This window comes from Homo sapiens, chromosome 8 (assembly GCF_000001405.40).
Source record: "Homo sapiens chromosome 8, GRCh38.p14 Primary Assembly".
In the NCBI taxonomy this organism is placed as follows: domain Eukaryota; kingdom Metazoa; phylum Chordata; class Mammalia; order Primates; family Hominidae; genus Homo; species Homo sapiens.
In genome coordinates this window covers 117,923,053-117,942,995 of record NC_000008.11, presented here as the reverse complement: position 1 = coordinate 117,942,995, position 19,943 = coordinate 117,923,053, and the positions used below count along the sequence as shown (strand labels likewise).

The 19,943-nt window shown below is 42.5% G+C and overlaps 1 protein-coding gene across 1 annotated transcript in view, besides 3 other annotated features; it reads left to right on the top strand.

Moving 5' to 3' along the window:
• The window catches only part of EXT1 (exostosin glycosyltransferase 1), a 317,337-nt gene that overhangs the window by 168,831 nt on the left and 128,563 nt on the right, over positions 1–19,943 (top strand). The gene's annotated exons all lie outside the window — the stretch shown is intronic.
• Positions 7,733–8,438: an enhancer, noted in NCBI's record as "NANOG-H3K27ac hESC enhancer chr8:118946797-118947502 (GRCh37/hg19 assembly coordinates)". NCBI's record gives its function as "activates a minimal SCP1, AML or CMV promoter by ChIP-STARR-seq in naive H9 embryonic stem cells {active_cell/tissue: H9 hESC(naive)}" and the evidence as "EXISTENCE:reporter gene assay evidence [ECO:0000049][PMID:30033119]".
• Positions 8,439–9,145: an enhancer, noted in NCBI's record as "NANOG-H3K27ac hESC enhancer chr8:118946090-118946796 (GRCh37/hg19 assembly coordinates)". NCBI's record gives its function as "activates a minimal SCP1, AML or CMV promoter by ChIP-STARR-seq in naive H9 embryonic stem cells {active_cell/tissue: H9 hESC(naive)}" and the evidence as "EXISTENCE:reporter gene assay evidence [ECO:0000049][PMID:30033119]".
• Positions 11,631–12,188: an enhancer, noted in NCBI's record as "OCT4-NANOG-H3K27ac hESC enhancer chr8:118943047-118943604 (GRCh37/hg19 assembly coordinates)". NCBI's record gives its function as "activates a minimal SCP1, AML or CMV promoter by ChIP-STARR-seq in naive H9 embryonic stem cells {active_cell/tissue: H9 hESC(naive)}" and the evidence as "EXISTENCE:reporter gene assay evidence [ECO:0000049][PMID:30033119]".

Sequence of the window (19,943 nt, the reverse complement as noted above, 5' to 3'; positions counted from 1 at the left end):
GTATTCAAAAAGACGTTTGAGAGTTTCTAGCCCAATGGCTTCATGTGCCAATAATCTATGGGTCCAAGAAGCTCTGTATTTCCCCAGGATCACTTTGACTGCTACGTGTCAGGGCTGGGAGTAGACCCTGGGCCATCCAATTTATTCAACTTGTAGAATTAGGATCATAGCGTTAGTATATATCAAGTGTAATTTTCATTACATATGAATGTTTAAAAAAACATTCAACAGAACTTGTTGGATATTTGAGTATAATCTTCTTTTTCTTTTTCTTTCGTTTTTTGGAGACCGAATTTCGCTCTTGTTGCTCAGACTGGAGTGCAATGGCATGATCTCAGCTCACCGCAACCTCCACCTCCCAGGTTCAAGCGATTCTCCTGCCTCAGCCTCCCGAGTAGCTGGGATTACAGGCGTGCACCACCATGCCTGGCTAATTTTGTATTTTTAGTAGAGATGGGCTTTCTCCATGTTGGTCAGTCTGGTCTGGAACTCCCGACCTCAGGTGATCTGCCCACCTCGGCCTCCCAAAGTCCTAGGTTTATAGGCATGAGCCACCGCACCCGTCCTTGAGTATAATTTTCTTATCATTTACTCCTACCAGCCTCTGTGCTAGGTTCTGGGGGTATAAAGACAGGGGCCAGGTCTGCCTTTCCCCTACATTATTACAGTCTCATAAGGAAGAAACCCAGAGGAGTGATGATAAATGTATGCCTCAAGTATGTAGTATATAGGTGGTGCAGTTGTGGTCTGTGCACACAGGTACAATGAGGATGCAGCAAAAGGTCTGATTCATTTGGGTTACAGACTTAATAGAAGGAATGAAGCTTGAGCTGAGTTTAAAGAGTAGAAGAATTGGATTTTAATATATGGATGGGTCCTCCATGTTAAAATTAATGAGGTTGGACATTACTGAGGCTAAGACGGTAGCAGCAGGTGATGGGAAGGTCATCAGTGTTGGGGCCCATTAGACCTATAACTCCTTGAACAACTTACTTTGATCCTCAGTTGTCCCATCTGAAAATAGGATGATACTGTGCATTCCACTTGTAGAACTAGGATTGTAGCATTAGCACAGGCAGTGACAGTCATGGCATTCACAGTGTGGAGTGACACAGCAAGAGGGGTGAGGCTGCCCAGCCATTTGTACGTTTTGCCTGTAGGTCTTAAACTGGATGGCAGGAGGCTTGAAGTTGTGATTTCTACCTCATGTTTTCATTATAAAATGAGTGGTCACTTGAAGAAAAGTGACAGTGAGTTTTGTGTTTGAAACTTTTAGAAGGATCCATTCTGGAATAACCAAAGATTTAACATGAGGGTGTGCCATGTATATGAACAGAGCTCTTCTGTGCCAGGTCTCTTAAGAAGGCTGGATGTGGTTTGGGCTGAAAAAATGATCACTCACCATCAACCCTTTCTGCGCTGTGTGTGGCGAATGCCTGGGTTTGCCTTCCTGACTACTTTGCAAAGTGTGTTGCTTTTTCTGCCTCTGTTGAATTTACCCTTTTTCCAGGTTCCACTCTCACTACCCTAGATCCAGCCTTACTGGAGGCTGCACAGACCACCAGCTTTCTGAACTATGGGCCTAGCCTATTCCCCCCTCCATATGTTATAGTAGCAAAGTCCCTGCTTTAAAATTTTGCAGCTTAGGAACTCTGATTTTCTTATCTTCCTCTAACTGTCCAGTGGCTGTGTATTTCCTGCATAATAAAGATCTGAACATCTTACCATGATACGTGGTAGAGCTGCCGGCATTCATCAGATATTCATGCCTGGATTGCCTGCACATGACAATCTCCCTACTTTGGTTGCTGCTCCCCCACTTGCCTCTGACTTAGGTAGGGTTCCCTAGAGGAGTCCCGAGACGGGGTTTCTCATGCAAGTGACTTATTGAGAGAATTATTTCTTTGTAGAAGCCAGTAAAGGAATGTGAGAAGCAGGATGGGGCAGGGCAGGAAGCTGGGGAAGGATGTGGGTCTAGTTGAAGTCCAACCTCCGCCTTAACCCCTGGGGAATCTGTAGCATGAATGGCATGTATGGCCCCATGGAGACCCCCATATCAGTCAGTAACTAACTGGCTGTAGGCTGCCTTTGGGTGGGGGTAGGTAATTACCCAGGCATTTCCCCTGCAAGATCCCAGCAGCCTAGGGGTGACTGCACTGACCAATAAAAGGAATACACGCAGGATGCCAGCAGCTTCCATTGTACCCACAGGTCAAACTCCTACTGATCCTTCAAGACCCAGACAGATTTCAATTTTGTAAAGTTTTTCCCAGACCAGAAATTCTCATTCTGAACTAATGATGTTACCATCTCCCGAGTCTTCTTATGCCTCATTCTAGGCCTTATCAAGATCACCTTGTATCACTGTGGATTGGCTTAATGTCTGGCTTCCTGCTAGACTAATGAGTTTCTTGAGGGTGCAGCGTGTTTTAATTCACCTTTAAATAGCTACTCCCCAGACCCCAGGGCTGTCCCTGTGTAGCTATTTAGTAAAGGTCGTTTGAATTGAAATGAGCTGTAACATCCTTCCTTGATGCCTAGTGCTTTTAGCCCTGTGGGAATGTTTCTTCAAGCCTTCCAGATACGGGGGGCTCTTCCAGGAATGCTAGCTCAGCTTGCCACTCTTTCCACCCCAGGATTCCATAGCCATTGAGATTATACCACAGGTTCCCTGTGCCAGCATTTTCTTCCACCTGCTCCCCTGGATGTCAGTCTACATCATCTCACCAGTCGGCCTATGTCATCTCACTAGTCAGCCTGGGCAGGTAGCCTGCTGTCATCTGCTGTCCACATGGGCTGGGCCCTAGGGTAGATGGCTTGAAACAAGTATTACTTCTTGGATGACATTCTGGCTGCCACTCAGAATCTGACAGTTGGTAAATCTTGGCCTGTGCTATTGAATGCCATGACTTATTGGTGTAATGGTGAAAATTGTTCAGAGGAAGACTGGGACATCCATGGTGGACCCAAGAATCATGTCAGGGGATGGAAAAGGGCCACCATGTCCTAGTTTGGTCTAGAACTAGATTCTGCAAGTTACAGTCACAATCCAATAGCCAAATAGAAGCACTCATTCATTCATTCATTTTCTCAACAATCTTCTGTTTCTTCTTTTCTATTTATTGTGTGCTGGGTGAGGGCAAAAGTGAATAAGATGTGGTTTTTGCGTTCAAGGAATTGACAAGGGAAGGAGATGAGATTGAGACAGATGTATGCACAACTCAGAATAATGAAAGGAATAAAGGATATGCACCACAAGAAAGAAAGTGCACAGGACATTGGTTAAGAATGTGGTATCTGAAGTTAGAGGGCCTTGAAGTCAAATTCCAGCTCCATTAGTTATCAGTTGTGGGACTTTAGGCAAGTAATTTAATTTTCTCACCTTCACTATTATTCTTTTTTCTTTTTCTTTTTTTTTTTTTTTCAGAGATGGAGTTTCACTCTTGTTGCCCAGGCTGGAGTGCAGTGGTGCAATCTTGGCTTACTGCAACCTCTGCTTCCCGGGTTCAAGTGATTCTCTTGCTTCAGCCCCTCGAGTGGCTGGGATTACAGGCGCGCACCACCATACCCTGCTAATTTTGTATTTTTGGTAGAGACAGGGTTTCGCCATGTTGGTCAGGCTGGTCTCAAACTCCTTACCTCAGGTGACCCACCTGCCTTGTCCGCCCAAAGTGCTGGCATGAGCCACTGTGCCTGGTCACTATTTTTCATCTTCAAATGGAAACAACAGTGGTACCTGCTTCATAGGGTTGTCTGTGAGGATTAAATAAGATACTGTCTGTGTAAAGTACAAATTGACACACATTCACAGATGTTGGCTGTTGTTATGAATGCTATTATTGATGGGCTAGTTCTTGCAGGGCTGGGGGACAGTCCATGGAATAGGTGGCATTTGAGTGGGGCTTTGAATTTTTACAGGCAAGGGAGGCTTCCATTGGGGGGAAAAAAAAACAGCTTGAAAAATAAAAGGAGGGGGCATGAGATTGTATAACTTACTTGGGAATGGCAAATGGCCGTGACTGCCTGGGATGTACTGATGGATGCTCGAAGGGTTTCCGTGGGAGCTGAGGCAGTGAATGTGTGCTAGGATGGAGTGCTTTGCAAATAGTGATTATTCAATAAATATTTCTTGAATTTCTTTGATTATTTTATGCTTATGTGTTAACACTTATTTATGATAAAAATGCCAGTGGGCATTGGGTCCAAATTTATCTTATTGAAAAATAAAAATAATTATGAGTATGCCTCCTTTAACAGTTATAGAGATTGGCACACTCCTTTTTACCATTGTAAAGAAAAATAACTGCTCATCCTCAGCTATTTTTTGACCCTTTCATTTGAAGATGTGTTATGCTATAGATTATGGAGCTGTCCAGGAGAACTTTCTGTGATGCCAGAAATATTCTCTATCTTTATTGTCCAGTGTTCCAGCCATAAGCCACATGGGACTGTGGAGCACTCAAAGTGTGGCTAGTTTGACTAAGAAACTGAATTTTAAATTTTGTTTATTATTATTATTATTGTTATTATTTTTGAGTTGGAGTCTCGCTTTGTCACTTAGGCTGGAGTGCAATGGTGTGATCTCTGCTCACCGCAACCTTTACCTCCTGGCCTCAAGCAATTCTCCCACCTCAGCCTCCTGAGTAGCTGGGATTACAGGTCCCCGCCACCATGCCCAGCTAATTTTTGTATTTTTAGTGGAGACAGAGTTTTACCATGTTGGCCAGGCTGGTTTCAAACTCCTGACCTCAAATAATCCTCCTGCTTCAGCCGCCCAAAGTGCTTGGGTTACAGGCATGAGCCACCGTGCCTGGTCTGTTTAATTAAATGGAAGTCACCCCATGGGGCTAGACAAGGGCTATCATAGTGGATAGCACTGCAGTCTAGAAACTGTTCTGGATCTCTGTAGAGGAAATGTGCGAATGTGAAGCATTGGGTTTGGAATAGTGTGGGGCAAATGAGATATTTCCTATTGAGGTGTCTGGTACTGCAGTTTCAGAAGTGAATACCCTCAAAACGAGCTGTTTATTTTTATCAGTTTTGTTTTGGAGAATATTCAGGCAATCTGTGACTAGAGTGAGCAGTGCTCCAATAGAGTGCTTTGAGAAATACCAGGCTGATTACAGACCCACAGGAAGCAATTGTCATAATTAGGCCCTGTTAATAAACCATGGGCTGCAATGTGTGTACACACACACATTCACACACTCTTTTTCTCCTTCTCTCTCACTGAATCCAGTGCTCTCTCTCTGGCATGTAGTGCATAAGAGTTATTTTTCTTCCTGATCTCAGTTTTCCAACAAATGGGAAAATGCTCTGAACGCGTTGCATACAGGGGAAAAACCTTACAGTCTTTATTGTATGTGAACAGCTAATAAGGAAACCGTTTGACAAGAGCTTGCTTTGTGTCATGGCTTCTGGCTTCCAGCCAGTTTATTTTCTTGCTGGGACAACTATATTCAGGCAGCAGAGTTAAGCAACAGGGAGGGGGCAGGATGAAGAAACACAGACTTCATAAATCAGGGCGATTCAGCAAAATTCCATTTGAATTGAATCTGGGCCAGGGGCAGGAGTGCCATGGAGCGTCTGTGTAGAAGCTGACATTTTAATGATTTGATTAGTTTAGGAAGAATATTTTTATGGATTGTGTCCTCGATTATATTAAGTACTGAGTGAACTTGTTACATTATGATGAACTTCCATTACCTACACTGGTTGTGTACAAGTGCAATGATTTCAGCCCAAGACCCTAAGGGTAATCTCGTGCAATCCTCTTAAAGAAATGCTGTTTAATGACTAAAGCTGTTAATCATATTAAATACATACAGCCACTCTGGGAAAATATGCCAAACAAGCATAAATCTAAAAAAGGTATTTGAAGGAGCTAAATGGTGTGTTTTGAGGGGATATTGGGCAGGGGAAGTAATAATGGAGGGAGCGAAGGGATGTAGAGATGGAAGAAGTCATAATAGGTACAGTGATGGTGTTTTCCATCTCCTGTGTGGCAGGTGCTGTGTTGAATGGGTTAATCAGAATGCTCTGGGCCACATCTAGAAGACATTCCAACTCAACATAGTTATTTATTTATTTATTTGTTTGTTTGTTTATTTATTTATTTTTTGAGATGGAGTCTCACTCTGTTGCCCAGGCTGGAGTGCAGTGGCATGATCTCAACTCACTGCAACCTCCACCTCCCGGTTTCAAGTGATTCTCCTGCCTCAGCCTCCCAAGTAGCTGGGATTACAGGTGCGTGCCACCACGCCTGGCTAATTTTTGTATTTTTAGTAGAGACAGCGTTTCACTATGTTGGCCAGGCTGGTCTCAAAATCCTGCCCTCAGGTGATCTGCCCACCTTGGCATCCGAAAGTGCTGGGATTACAAGCGTGAGCCTCCGGGCCTGGCCCCTCAACACAGTTTAAACAAGGAAAACTTATCTTCCTAAAAATAGAGAAGATAGACAGTTCCCAAGTGGTGATGGTGGTGTATTTTGTTTGTAAGTTAATCAGCAATTTGGTGATATCAGGGTTCTAGGTTGACTTCTCTCTGATTCTCTTGGTTTTCTCTAATTTGGTCATTTATTGTGATATTTAAGTTAACAAGTAAAAATGGCAGCTGCACTCACACTTCTTAACCAATGGAAATTTATTTGACTCACAAAGTGCATAGGATGGGAGAAATCTCCAGTGGACTAGTGGAGTCTGTGACAGTGGGGTATGTGGAGTATAGATCCACAGGCTGTTGGAATAGGCTCAGGTCCTCATCTGCTCAGAAGACAGGCAGGGAAATTCCAGTCTTCAAGGGTTTTGTTGGTGAGGAGAACATGGATATGGATGTAATGTCCTTCCCTTTTGTTTTCTTTGCACAAATTTCAGTGGAAACATGTTGCCAAGTCAGATCGCCATTCTACTTGAGTGAATATGGAATTTGTCCAGTTTTCCAAATGCAGAGCTTTTTGTGGGCTGATGGACTGAATAGAAAGAGGAACAACCATACACCCTTCTACAGATGAAGGCAAGATTTTATGAAAGCGACTTCATTCGTTCTCCTCTGCCTGGTGTTCCTTCTTTGTAAACCAGGACCAGGGAGCTTTGAATATAGCAGTATATTATAGAATTTGGTTTCATTAAATATTATACCTGCCCTTAGTGTTTATATTCCAGTATATTGACAACCCAGGTCCTCTCTGTACCTGTGATTGTCTGTGTTGAGACTATTACAGAGCTCCAAAAATTAAAATAAAAATAATAATTTTACAGAAATACATATTTGCATTGGAATATTTAAGAAAGTTGAGTTTGGATGCCACAAGATTATAGGAGTAATAGGAAGCTGGGCACAGTGGCTCACACCTGTAATCCTAGCACTTTGGGAGGTTGAGGCAGTGAGGCAATAGGATTGTTGGAGCCTAGGAGTTTGAGACCAGCCTGGGCAACATAGGGAGATCCTGTCTCTACATAAAGTAAATTTAAAATGAATTAGCTGTTGGTGCTGTTGGCATGTTGGTGCATACCTGTGTACCAGGCGTGTTGGTGCACACCTCCCAACCACTTGGGAGGCTGAGGCAGGAGGATCCCGTGAACCTGGGAGGTCGAGGCTGCAGTGAATCATGATGATGTCACTGCAGTCCAGCTTGGGCAACAGCAAGACCCTGTCTCAAAAAAAAAAAAAAAAAAAGTGATAGATAACTAACCAGGATTTTCTGGATTTGGGTTTGGGAAGTGGAGGAATGCCTGTGTCTGTGTTTAGAAATGACAAACCAAACCATGGACATGACACTATTAGCTCCTGTCCCTACAGCTGCTGTGTTGTTTCTTGAGAGCCCAGGATGGGTAGTAGGCCTCTTTAACCTCCGTTATCACTTAATTCTCACCATAATCCTAGGAGATGTATATGTCCTCATTTTAGAGATAAGGAGGACATTGAGGCCAAGAGAGTTTAGTAAGTAACAGAATGGATTTTCAAGCCAGGTCTGTCTTGATAAGAAAGCTCACATGCTTTCTTTCTTATGACACTGTTTAAGCTGTGTTCTGCTAAGTTCCTAAGATTCTCTAGGATAGATGCATGTGTAGGATCAATTCAGGGCGAAAGGGCTGGAGTGGCTTTGAGATTCCCAACCTCTGCTCCTAACTGGTTTTCTATCCTGAGTTTCTGCATACCATTTTCTTGGAAGAAGAGATTCTGTGCTTAAAAAAAATACGTACATAAAAGAAGCGTGCACATTGCTGTCCTGTACCGCAGTGCCTGAGTCAGGTATCCATTTGCATTGTGAAAGGAGCCTGAGGTGTGAAACAGTTCTGGGTTCTTTGCGCACCCAGCTGGCTGGCTTCCTGTGAACTGGCTGCATTTCAGATTTCATTCTCTAGCCAGAAGCTGAAAGGCAGGAGCCCTTTGAAGAGATACAGGGAAGCAAAGAGGGTTATCCAGATGAGAAGGAAGGGAAAGGGGGCGTGACAACTCCTTGGAGGGAATTTCCCCAGTGGGAACTGCCTCTGGAGGAGCTTACACAGGGCACATCAATGGGAAACCACGTCCTGGTCTGCTCGGAAGCCCTGGGGGGCCTCTTGCAACATGCAGGCAGGCTCCCCAGACTCAACCCTCTCTCTCTACCAGAGGCGCATGGACTGCGCCTGCTTCCCCCTTCTCTTATAAAGCCAGCTATGGGCCATTCTATCCCTCTGCCTCCCTGGATCCTTCGTCCATGCTGTTCCTGAAAGCAAGAAACAGTCCATTTTTTTTTTTCATTTAATACTTTTTTTTGCTAAGTGCTGCTGGGAAACACATGGAGGAGAACAAAACCCGACAAGCCTGGTGCTGCTCTTACTGTATCTGTGGGGTGGGGAATGGGGAAGTTCTGAAAATTTACAGGTGTGTCTCAGACTAAAGGGTTTCAAAACACTGTGCTGAAGCAGTGCGTGTTGAGGTAGAAGGCACAGGAGTGTTCCTGTGGTTGGGAGAGATATCCTGTGTCCAGAATTTGAGGCAGGAGATAGAGGTTTTGCTGGTGGGATTGTGGTGAGACTCCTAGAGCTGGAACCAGGAGAGGGGGATCCATTGCTCTGTGAAGAGGGCATCTTCACGTGGAGCAAGGCTGGACAGCAGGAGCCCACTAGGGACCCCTGTGAGCAGGCGTCTGGACTTGTTTGTTTGAAAACAATTAAGACGAGCAATGTGATGTGAAGCATTCAGAGTAAGGGTAGTGGACTGGATTAAATAGAGGGGCAGTTGTATCATCTTTCTGTGCCCCGTGCCTCCTGTTTCTTCCTTCATTTGTTCATTAAACAAATGTTTATTGATGGTTTATAATGTGCCAGACTTGCCTAGGTGCATGGGACGCAGCAGTAAGTGAGACCAAGAAGGTCCCAGTACTCACGGTGCTTATATTCTAGTAGACAGTGAATAAATAAACTTGCCAATCAAATCTCTGCCATAGCTCTCATCACTTTCAGACATAGATTAAAACATCTGAGAGTGCCTGTAATCCCAACATTTTGGGAGGCCAAGGCCGGTGGATCCCTTGAGGTCACGATTTGGAGAACAGCCTGCCTAACATGGTGAAACCCCGTTTCTACTAAAAATACAAAAATTAGCTGGGCGTGATGGTGTGCGCCTGTAATCCAGCTACTCAGGAGGCTGAGACAGGAGAATTGCTTGAACCCGAGAGGTGGAGGTTGCAGTGAGCTGAAATGGCGCCACTGCACTCCAGCCTGGGCGACAGAGCAAGACTCCATCTCAAATAAACCAAAAAAAAAAAAAAAAAAATACCCAGCAGAACATCTGAGAGTGATAAGAGCTATGGCAGAGATTTAAGATAGTTCCATGAATGCTAGAAACTGACTGGTTCTAAAAGACCAGAAGACCTCTTCAAGAGAGACTTTGGAGGCGAAAAGTGAGTGTAGCATAGAGCCAGTCTTGGGAGGTTTGGGGAAGAACATACCACTGAGAGAGAGCAGCCAGTATCAAGGCCCTGAGACAGGTGAGAGCTTTGTTCAAGGAACAGAAGGGGGCCAGTATGGCTAGGATGGAGTGAGCACGGGGAAGATGTTAGGAGCACGTTAAGTTTGCATTCCCTCTGGGTGTCCTTGGATAGGTTACTCAGCCACTCTGAGTGCTGCCCTGGCAGCCAGCTCTAGGCTTCACTGACTGGAGTTTGGCTATCCTTGGATGGAAATCCAAGCTCTTTTTTACTTTACATTTTTCATTTTGATTATAATCAAATTAAGAACAGTCATAAAAGTATTTTCTGGGTCATCTCGATGAAACTAGCACTAAGCAAAGCCATGGATTTCTTAACTCTGTGCAGGTATGTTCCTATAATTGTCATGTGCTAAAACGAAGGCTCAGGAAATCCAAAAGATTTTTGCAGTATTTGAATAGAAAAAAGAGGGGTGGAGGGAAGTGAGTGTGGGACAGTGAGGTGTGGGCAGACCCAAGAACCCTGGTGAGCGGGCAGTACTATGTTTATGTTTTGAGTGGGATTCCCATTTTTACGTAACAGCCTCCTACATTTGTTAGAAGTAGTCTTAGCAGTTGTATGGTATAGCATTTCCCTTCCTGCCCCCAGACTCAGTAATTGGTTTAGATGCCATTTAATGCAGTTTTTAATTCCTCAAAACTAGTCTTCTGTGAACAAAATATCTTTTCAGATTTACCAGGTAAATCTGTAAAATCAGTATGAAGGGATTGCTCCCCAGCCAGCATTTGGTTAAGTTGAATTCTGATTATCCTTAACCTGCAAGCAAAGCTTTGAAGTTCCTAATAACTTTTCTGTTCAATAGTTTTCATGCTTATGTAAATAGACACTCTAACATTTAGAAGTTAAAGCACCCCCCCAAAAACCTCAAATATATAACTTGGCCTGAGACTCTATTTTTCTACTGCAAAATTCAATATGGACAATTGAGTTTTAGTAAAACTACGTAATTTCGAATTGAAATAATTTAAATTGCTTTTGTTTTAAAAAATTTGTATTTGTGCATAATAAGTTACATTTCAATAAAAATAAAGTAAATGCATTCACTTGACTTATTTTCCGCGTGGGCATTTTCTTCTTCATATATGGTCCATAATTACTTAAGCTTGAGACTCACTGCTTCGACTTGCAAACAGAACATTTCAAGTGATCAAAAATCTAGGACCCAGAGGGAGTGAATGCACAACTTTAGGATTCTGACCTTAGCTGCAATAGAAACCTTGAGTGACTTTTAAGGCTATGATGTCCTGGTAAAGAAATATACCTAAAACATAGATGGATATGATAAAGTAATGGAATTTTGCATCATGCAGCTATTCTCTGCCAGCATGTCCGGCAACAGACATCTTTGGAAGCATATTTTTGAAAATAGGTATCCTCGTTCTCTTCATATCATTTTATTATTGATCTCTGAAAGACTGATAACCTTGGTAAAACAGCCAGCTCAATGTGTAGCCAATAACCACGCCTAGGTGTCTGGCTTCCCCCTCTCTTATTCCCACCTCCCCCTTTTCCATCTCCTTCTCTTCCTCCTTCCCTCCCTCTCTCATAGACCTCCCACACCCCCGCCCCACACAAAATATATATATCATTGTAGTTTATAATTTATAAAGATTTATCAATTGCTAATATATCAGTTATTTATTTATTTATTTTTATTTCTAAGCATGCCTCCTTTGAAGGGCATATGTATGTCTGTGTGAGTATATACAGGAAATGTATCCATGTCTGGAAAGGGGCCTCCATCTAGACGCCAAGTGAGAGTTCTTGGATCTTGTGAGAGAAAGAATTCAGGGCGACTCCATAGAATAAAGTCAAAGCAAGTTTATTAGGAAAGTAAAGGAATAAAGAATGGCTTTCCAAAGGCAGGGCAGCCCCGAGGACTGTTGATTGCCTATTTTTATGGTTATTTCTTGATTATGTGTTAAACAAAGGGTGGATTATTCATGAGTTTTCCAGGAAATGGGTGGGCAATTCCTGGAACTGAGGATTCTTCCCCTTTTTAGGCCATATAAGATAACGTCTTGGCATTGCCATGGCATCTGTAAACTGTCATGGCATTGGTGGAAGTGTCTTTTAGCATGCTAATGCAATACAATTAGCATATAATTGAGCAGTGAGGATGACTAGAGGTCACCTTTGTTGCCATCTTGGTTTTGGTGGGATTTGGCTGGCATCTTTACCGCATGCTGTTTTATCAGCAAGGTCTTTGTGACATGTATCCTGCTGATCTCCTATCTCGCCCTATGACTAAACACAACTAACCTTCCGGGAATGCAGCCTCCTAGTAGGTCTCTGCCTTATTTTACCCAGCCCCTACTCAAGATGGAGTCACTGTGGTTCAAACACCTCTGACAAATCTGTCTGCCTGTTGGAAAGGACTTTGTCAACTTGTCATGTTACTTATATAAATATAGAAATATGTATTTAAAACTTGATGGACACTTCACCATCACACTCTCTTCTCCTCTCCCACATCACTCTAGCACTGATCCATTTTTAGAAAAGGTTTTTTTGGGGATGGGGGTTGACCAGATGTGGATATTTAGAGATAAGTCTATAATCTTCCAACTGTAGAAGTCTTTATGTCTTTGAGTCTTGCTTGTGTGTGTAAATGTCCTATTTTTTTTTTTGATATATGAATAAAGTAATTAATTTGCATTTAGTTGCTTAAGCCTGTCTTCATAGCCTGGGGAGAAATGATGGCTGACACTTGTCATTCTCCACCCTTCCGCTCCCCACATTTCATTTGGTACTTCATTTCTTCCTCTTGAGGTGTGAATATCTCAAGAAAGATGTTGACTGGTCCCACTGGTTGGGATGACAATGAGTGATAGGTAGTCTTGCACTTCTTGATCAATGACAAGATCACCCATTTGGCAAACTCTTCCTCTTCTCTTCTGTCTTTATTTTTTTTTTTTTGAGATGGAGTCTCTCTCTGTTGCCCAGGCTGCAGTGCAATGTGCGATCTTGGCTTGCTGCAACCTCCGCCTCCCAGGTTCAAGCAAGTCTGCCTCAGCCTCCCAAGTAGCTGGGATTACAGGCATCTGCCACCATGCCCAGCTAATTTTTGTGTTTTTAGTAGAGATGGGGTTTCACTGTGTTGGCCAGGGTGGTCTCAAACTCCTTACCTCAGGTGATACGCCTGCCTTGGCCTCCCAAAGTGCTGCGATTACAGGTGTGAGGCACCACGCCTGGCTGCTCTTACACTTTTCTATGAGACACATTACAGATAGATGCCCATATTGAGATACATACCCATATACGGATAGATATCCATGCTGAGAGAAGCATGTTAATCCGGCTGTGAAAGCTTTATAGTTAGGAATTTCTGGGAAGATCTTCACCTTTGGCATACTCCTTCAGTCTCATCCCCTATGTCCCTAATAGAAGCAGTAATGGGGAATCTGTCATGATGACTTACTAGAAAAATCTATTGAGCCTGCTTATGATTCTTTGGTTTTGGAGGAGGAGGGCACTAATTTTCATTGGTTCATTCATTCAAAAATATTAAGTTCCTACTCCATGTCTAATAACTGCCTTTCTGGCTAGTCTGTGAGCATGGCAACGGACGGATGATGTCTTTTGTTTTCTGTTGTGTCTCTGATGTCTTTCACATTGAAGAGCAGGGAGGAAGTGCTCGTATCATATTTGTGCCAGAGTGAGGAGGAAGAGGGAAGCACTCAGAGCTGACACTTCCTGTGATTTAGCCTTCTGCCTGTGGATCATCTTTTCATCTTTTTTGAGCTCATGTTAGTTTCTCTACTACCTGTGCGTTTCTTTACCTTCCTTGGAGTATTTCTTCCTTGAGCTCAGTGTTGCAGGCACTGCTTGGTCAGGCTTAGCCCATAGACAGAAAATACTTATTGAGTACTTACTGTATATATAGCACTCTTCCATGCACTGTACATGTATGAACTCACTTGCTCTTTCCAGCAACTTAGGAGATGTGTGTCTTCATTATCACCCCAATTGAAGAAACTAAGGATGAGAAAGGATTCAGACTTAATGCAAATGATCCACTATCTGGGAAGCTATTTAATCAACCTGGGCTCAATTATTTCTGTTTTCTATTTGGCCGTGGGCTTTTGGGTTGTTTGTTTTAGTGGGCACAGAACTCAAGGTCCTTGGCTTTTTCATGCCCTTTTTCATCGGTGTCGTAAGTACTTGCTCCGTAAGGAAATGATTTTAATTTTACTTTTCTCTAAAAGTAAAAAAATCCTACTCTGTAGTGTAGTGGTTTCATCTTTTTTTTTTTTAATATTGACTGACATGTCAAGAGAACCCACAGGCTTTGCACATACACTTTTCCAGTCATTGCTTCAGATATCACATCCAGTGGAAATTATTAGATGTGATATCTGAACCAGTTGCAAGCAAGATCTCTCAGCCTCCTTCAATTGCTATGTTCCAGGTAAATGTTATTGCTGTGATTATCATCATCGTAATTATTTTGCATTCTCTGTTTAGTATTTTTATCAGAACAGCATTCTTTCCTTGAAAGATAAAAACTATTGAAGATTTTAAGAAAGTTTGAAGCTTGTTAAGGAAACTAGTAACTAAAAAGTTTAAGATTCTGTGCCTAGTGGGACATAATTTGTTGTTTTATTACCTTTTGTATTTGCTCGTGCATATGTACATGCCTGCATTCAACCAAATATTTGTTACATGCCAGGCACTGTGGACAGGTGCCTACTTAAGGTAATAGGCTGGGCAGACAGACTCCCACCCTAGTTCATCACACTCATTCAAATAGAATTTCTAGTGGTTGAAAGAGCAATGGCCTTGGTTTTACCCTCTTTGTCAGGAACTAACTGTTCATTCTCTGGTGAGTCACCCAAATGTCCTGGCTCTTCACCTGCAAAATGAGTCCATTGGCCTAGATGTTCTCTATCAACTCCAAAGGTCTAAGATATGTATGATAAAGGGTATGCCATCCAGTGAAGATCAACAGTATCATTCACAGCAGGCCTGTTCAATAAGGAGGAAGTTGCCATCTCAACTGGAGGCTGTACTGGACAAATAACATTCACTATTCTGCCTCCAAGGTTTCTCATTTAACCATGGGAGCTAATATGAAAAGAAGGTGTTCCTAAGCCAGTGAGATTAAGGTTTGCAGGTTTTAGCCTGCAAGCAGGACCAACTACCAATTTACAGGATCTAGCACAAAATTAAAATGTGGACCTTTTGTTCAAAAATTGTTCAGGATTTCAAGACACAGCAGAGCATTAAACGAAGCATGGCACCCTTCTGAGAAGACAGGGCTCTAGTGTCACCGTATGGGTCACAGGCAAACAAAGTCAGCCCTACCTGTAAATGGATCTGATTAAAGGCAGAAGTATCTTTCTATTTTGTAAGCAGATTGAGTGGTATGTTACTGTCTCACAATGTGTTATTATTTTTGCTGTTATGACTAAGATTATTATTTTAAGTGACAGTACCCCTGTGCCCATCTTCTCTTTTGAGAGTCTGAATCCCTTCAGATAAGGACTACAGCTTACCTAATTTGTGATTTTCCCCTCAGCTAGACTACTGACATGATGTGTTTGTTAAATGCAGTGAATGTAATAGTCATTTATCACAAGGAGAAATTGTGATTTTTTTTTTTTCCCCCAGAGGAATCTAGCTTAAAGAAGCCAAAATAGTACTTAATAAGGTGTTTGTGGGAACAGAGATGGACCATTGGATGAAATGCTCTGAAATAAAACTAGGCCTATGCAGTGTAAAAAGACTAAGACAGTGAGTTTCTGCCTTTTTTCTTTTTTTTTCCAAAAAACCTTTTTGATGTAACACAAGTCAGTATTTTTGTTGCTAGTTGGCACTTCATGAAAGATGATAGCCGGCTGGGGAGAGCCAAGAAAAATCAGTGAGTGGAATTGACAGACTTGCAGTGTTTGTAACTCTGCCTTTATCCTGTGTGATATTTTAAATAAATGGTTTTCTTATGTAGGGGACAGTTATTACTGTGCCTATCCCACACAGCAGAGAACCCAAAAGAGGACGACACACTGAAGGAGTCATAAATTGCACATGTAAACAGCTGGACATTTGGGTGTTGGTGAAACCTCTGAGATGAGACGGATGAAATATGTTGAGACATTCAAGGCTTTTGTTGCTAGTTTTTTTGTAGAATTTTTAGCAGACCTTTAAACCAAGAGACACTGGCAGTGCAGTTATTTTCAATAACCTGGACTCTCCAGGAAAATTTAGAAATCCATCCAAATAGAAGGTAAATAAACATGTTTATAGGCAAAGCCTTTTATATAAGCGTTTTTGTTGGGTCTGAATCTTTGATGCTGACAGAGTTGAACTGTCTGCCTTCTTGCTTTTCCTTATCCTGTTTGTCATCCGCTATGTGGCTTCGGCTTCAGTGACCCCTCTCTCCTTCCAGTTTCCTAGAAGCAAATTGCCCTTACGAGCGAATGCATTTGGGTCATTTGAATTTGCTCAGTCATTTTGGCAATTAATGACTTTTTGTGGATTCAGTTCTTGGGCACCTCCGCTGCATCCCACTTCTAGCCATGACTCCCTGCATTAGTGATTCAGCCTGAAAGAAAAAATGGCTTTTTTAAAAAGTGGGAGAAATTTATCTGAAGAGCAATCAGTTAGATGGACATGGAAGAGGCCCTCTCTGGGGTTTTACCTGGTCTGTCTTAAAAGGAACTCACTCGAGTTTTAATCCCTAGGATTATAGGCTGTAAAGCAATGGTCAGCTTAGATCCATTTCAGGGCCAATACATCTGTCTAAAATATTTTGAATACAAGAGGAGAGGAAGGATAGAGAAGCAAAGAAGTTTATGACTCAAATGATCTAGAGAATAATATCAAAGTTCCCCATGACACTTGCATTGGGATTTTACTTTGATTATAGACTTTATGTTCTTTATGAAGATCACAGTTCTTCTCAGGGCATACACATCACCATGCTAGCGGCTAGCAGATCTTAGGCCAAGTGCGGTCTCTTCTATGGACTTGATTTTAGACTAGAGGCAAATTGCTTAACCCTTTGGGTCTTGGTTTCCTTAACTTTAAAATTGAGAAGCCAAAAGAGATAACATGCGAAACGGCTATTGCAGGATATGAGGGATGAAAACAATTTCTTGTTTTTTTGTTTGTTCATTTGTTTTTGAGACAAGGTCTCTCTCTGTTGCCCAGACTGGAGTGCAGTGGCACAATCTTGGTTCACCGCAGCCTCAACCTCCTGGGCTCAAGTGATCCTCCCACCTCAGCCTCCAGAGTAGCTGGGACTACAGGTGTGTGCCACCACACATGGCTAATTTTCTTTTTTTTTTTCTTTCTTTCTTTTTTTTTTTTTTTTTTGTAGAGACAGGGTATCCCTGTGTTACTTAGGCTAGTCTTGAATTCCTGGGCTCAAGTGATCCCCCTACCTTTGCTTCCCAAGGTGCTAGGATTACAGGTGTGAGCCACCACACCTGGCCAATTTCTTGTTTTTATGTCAAAACTACTTCAGATCTGTTCTCATAAACCTGGGGTCATATGGCTTCCATAACTGCAAAAGGCTTAGAAGTGCTGTGAGGTGATAGCACTCTTTCTCTGTAGGCTTTTTGAGAGCAAGATACTTTTCTCCATGTACTTCTGCTTTATCTTTGAAATATGCTGCCAAATTTCCTCCTGTAATAACCGTAAAGGTTTGTTTTTTTTTTTTGAGGTGGTTGCATTGATTCACTCATTCTTCAACAATTATGTGTGTGCCAGAGACCATACTAAATGCTGTGAAAAGAGAGATGAATAAGAGAGACACAGCTCCTGTTGTCACAGATCTTAGAGCCTTTTCCTGTCATATGAGGAAAGCCATAGAATATAATCCAGGTGAGGGACAGTGACACCATATTTATGAAAGCACTTCAAATGCATTCCCATTTCCAGCCTAAAGATACCCACTTTAGAATCTGCGGGATTGGGATTGGGATAGCATTATCGTGGTTTCTTTTTACCTAAAAAATTACAGTTCTATGTTTTGGAATTTTTTTTCTCCATGGAAACATGTCACTAAATTTATAATAAAAGTCATTTTAGAACCAAACTTAACAGAACACATACCTGTGAATTTTAGGTTGTTAGAGAAATAGGTTGCAGGGTTTGGGGCATTCTACAGGGAGCCCATTACATATCAAAATTGTATCATTCATGTATACATTTCAAGAGGCATTTGCCTATATACACTACTAATAACTCATCTAGAATATAAGATTCCTTTTGAACTGGCAGACTCCAATATGGGGAATAAAGTGATGCTCGTTTGCCTAATCTTTATAAAACTTGGTTAGGTTTTATGCCTTTCCAAACTATACTGGACCAGATGTCTCCTTCCTCTTGCTTTTCTGCCCTCCAGGTCTGCTGTAGTGTAGAAAGCACTGTTCCTCTGAATTTCCTATTTACCTGTTTTGGCCTGTAGTGATAATTATTTTTCTCTGAAGTCGCACGATGATGTAACCAAGGAGAACAATGTGAGGTCAGTAGTATCCACATGACACAGTAATTACAGGCAACTGCTGATTGCTTTTGTACTCAGAAGGTTTGGAAAGATGTAGCATAAAGGTGTAAACAGATCATTTTCTTTTAGGTTTTGTTAGCAGTGCAATCCAAAGGGATTCCCATTCATTTAGCATTGTTCCCGTTGGCTTTTATAGCAGCCAAAAATAAAACCCCTTGAGTACTACTCTGGAGGGTAGCTGATGACATATAAAGTAAATCTCTTAATTGTATGTGAACTCTAGACCAGATTGATCAATTCCTTGTATATTCTAATAGTCCTGGCCCAGCACCATACATATGGTGGGCAGTCAGTAAATATTTCCCTAGTACAGTGGGGACAGAGAAGGGAATTTTCCCAAATCAGGCAGTTTTAGAGTTGGCCATATGAATCACCCAGTTATTTTCTTAAAATGCAGATTGTGATTCAGTATATCTAAGGAAATTCTCCAGTTCTAGCATGCTCCCACGTGATACGAATTCCTCTAATCCAAGAGTCTACTAGCCAGACAGAGCTAAGGCCAGAACACACCTATTTTAACTCTTAGTCTGGGAGTTATTCTCAGTATATCAACGATGGTGAATACATGTCTCTGTGTTTTCCTTCTCACTCTTACTAGACCCATAACACTAATTGATTGGTGAACTCATTCCCACTGAGCCAAGATGCAGCTTTGGAATTGTTCTCAATGTGGTGCTCCATGCAGCAAGTGCTGATTCAGAGAGTGTTATTCCAGTCACGCTTTGGGGATGAGTGGAAAGTTGGGTCATCTTTATACTCCGTGTTGCTTCTTTTTTTTTTTTTTTGAGACAGAGTCTCGCCCTGTCACCCCAGCTGGAGTGCAGTGGCACGATCTCGGCTTACTGCCAGCTCCACCTCCCGGGTTCACACCATTCTCCTGCCTCAGCCTCCCGAGTAGCTGGGACTACAGGCAACCGCCACCATGCCTGGCTAATTTTTTGTATTTTTTTTTTTTTTAGTAGAGATGGGGTTTCACCGTGTTAGCCAGGATGGTCTCGATCTCCTGACCTCGTGATCTGCCCGCCTTGGCCTCCCAAATTGCTGGGATTACAGGTGTGAGCCACCGTGCCCAGCCGCTTCTTTAAGTCAAGTAAACATGCTGAGAATTCAAAGCCCTTTTCTTCCTCCAGTCTCCTCGAGCCACCCACATCCCCCTGCTCACTGTCCTTTTTCCTTCCTTCTTTTTGTGTTTTTGAAACAGAGTCTCTGTTGCCCAGGCTGGAGTGCAGTGGTACAATCTCAGCTCACTGCAACCTCCACCTCCCAGGTTCAAGTGATTCCCTGCCTCAGCCAGCTACCTGGGGATTACAGGGACCCACCACCACGCCCAGCTAATTTTTGTATTTTTAGTAAAGACGGGGTTTCACCATGTTGGCGAGGCTGGTCTCGAACTCCTGACCTCAAGTGATCCACCCACCTCGGCCTCCCAAAGTGCTGGGATTACAGGCACAAGCCACC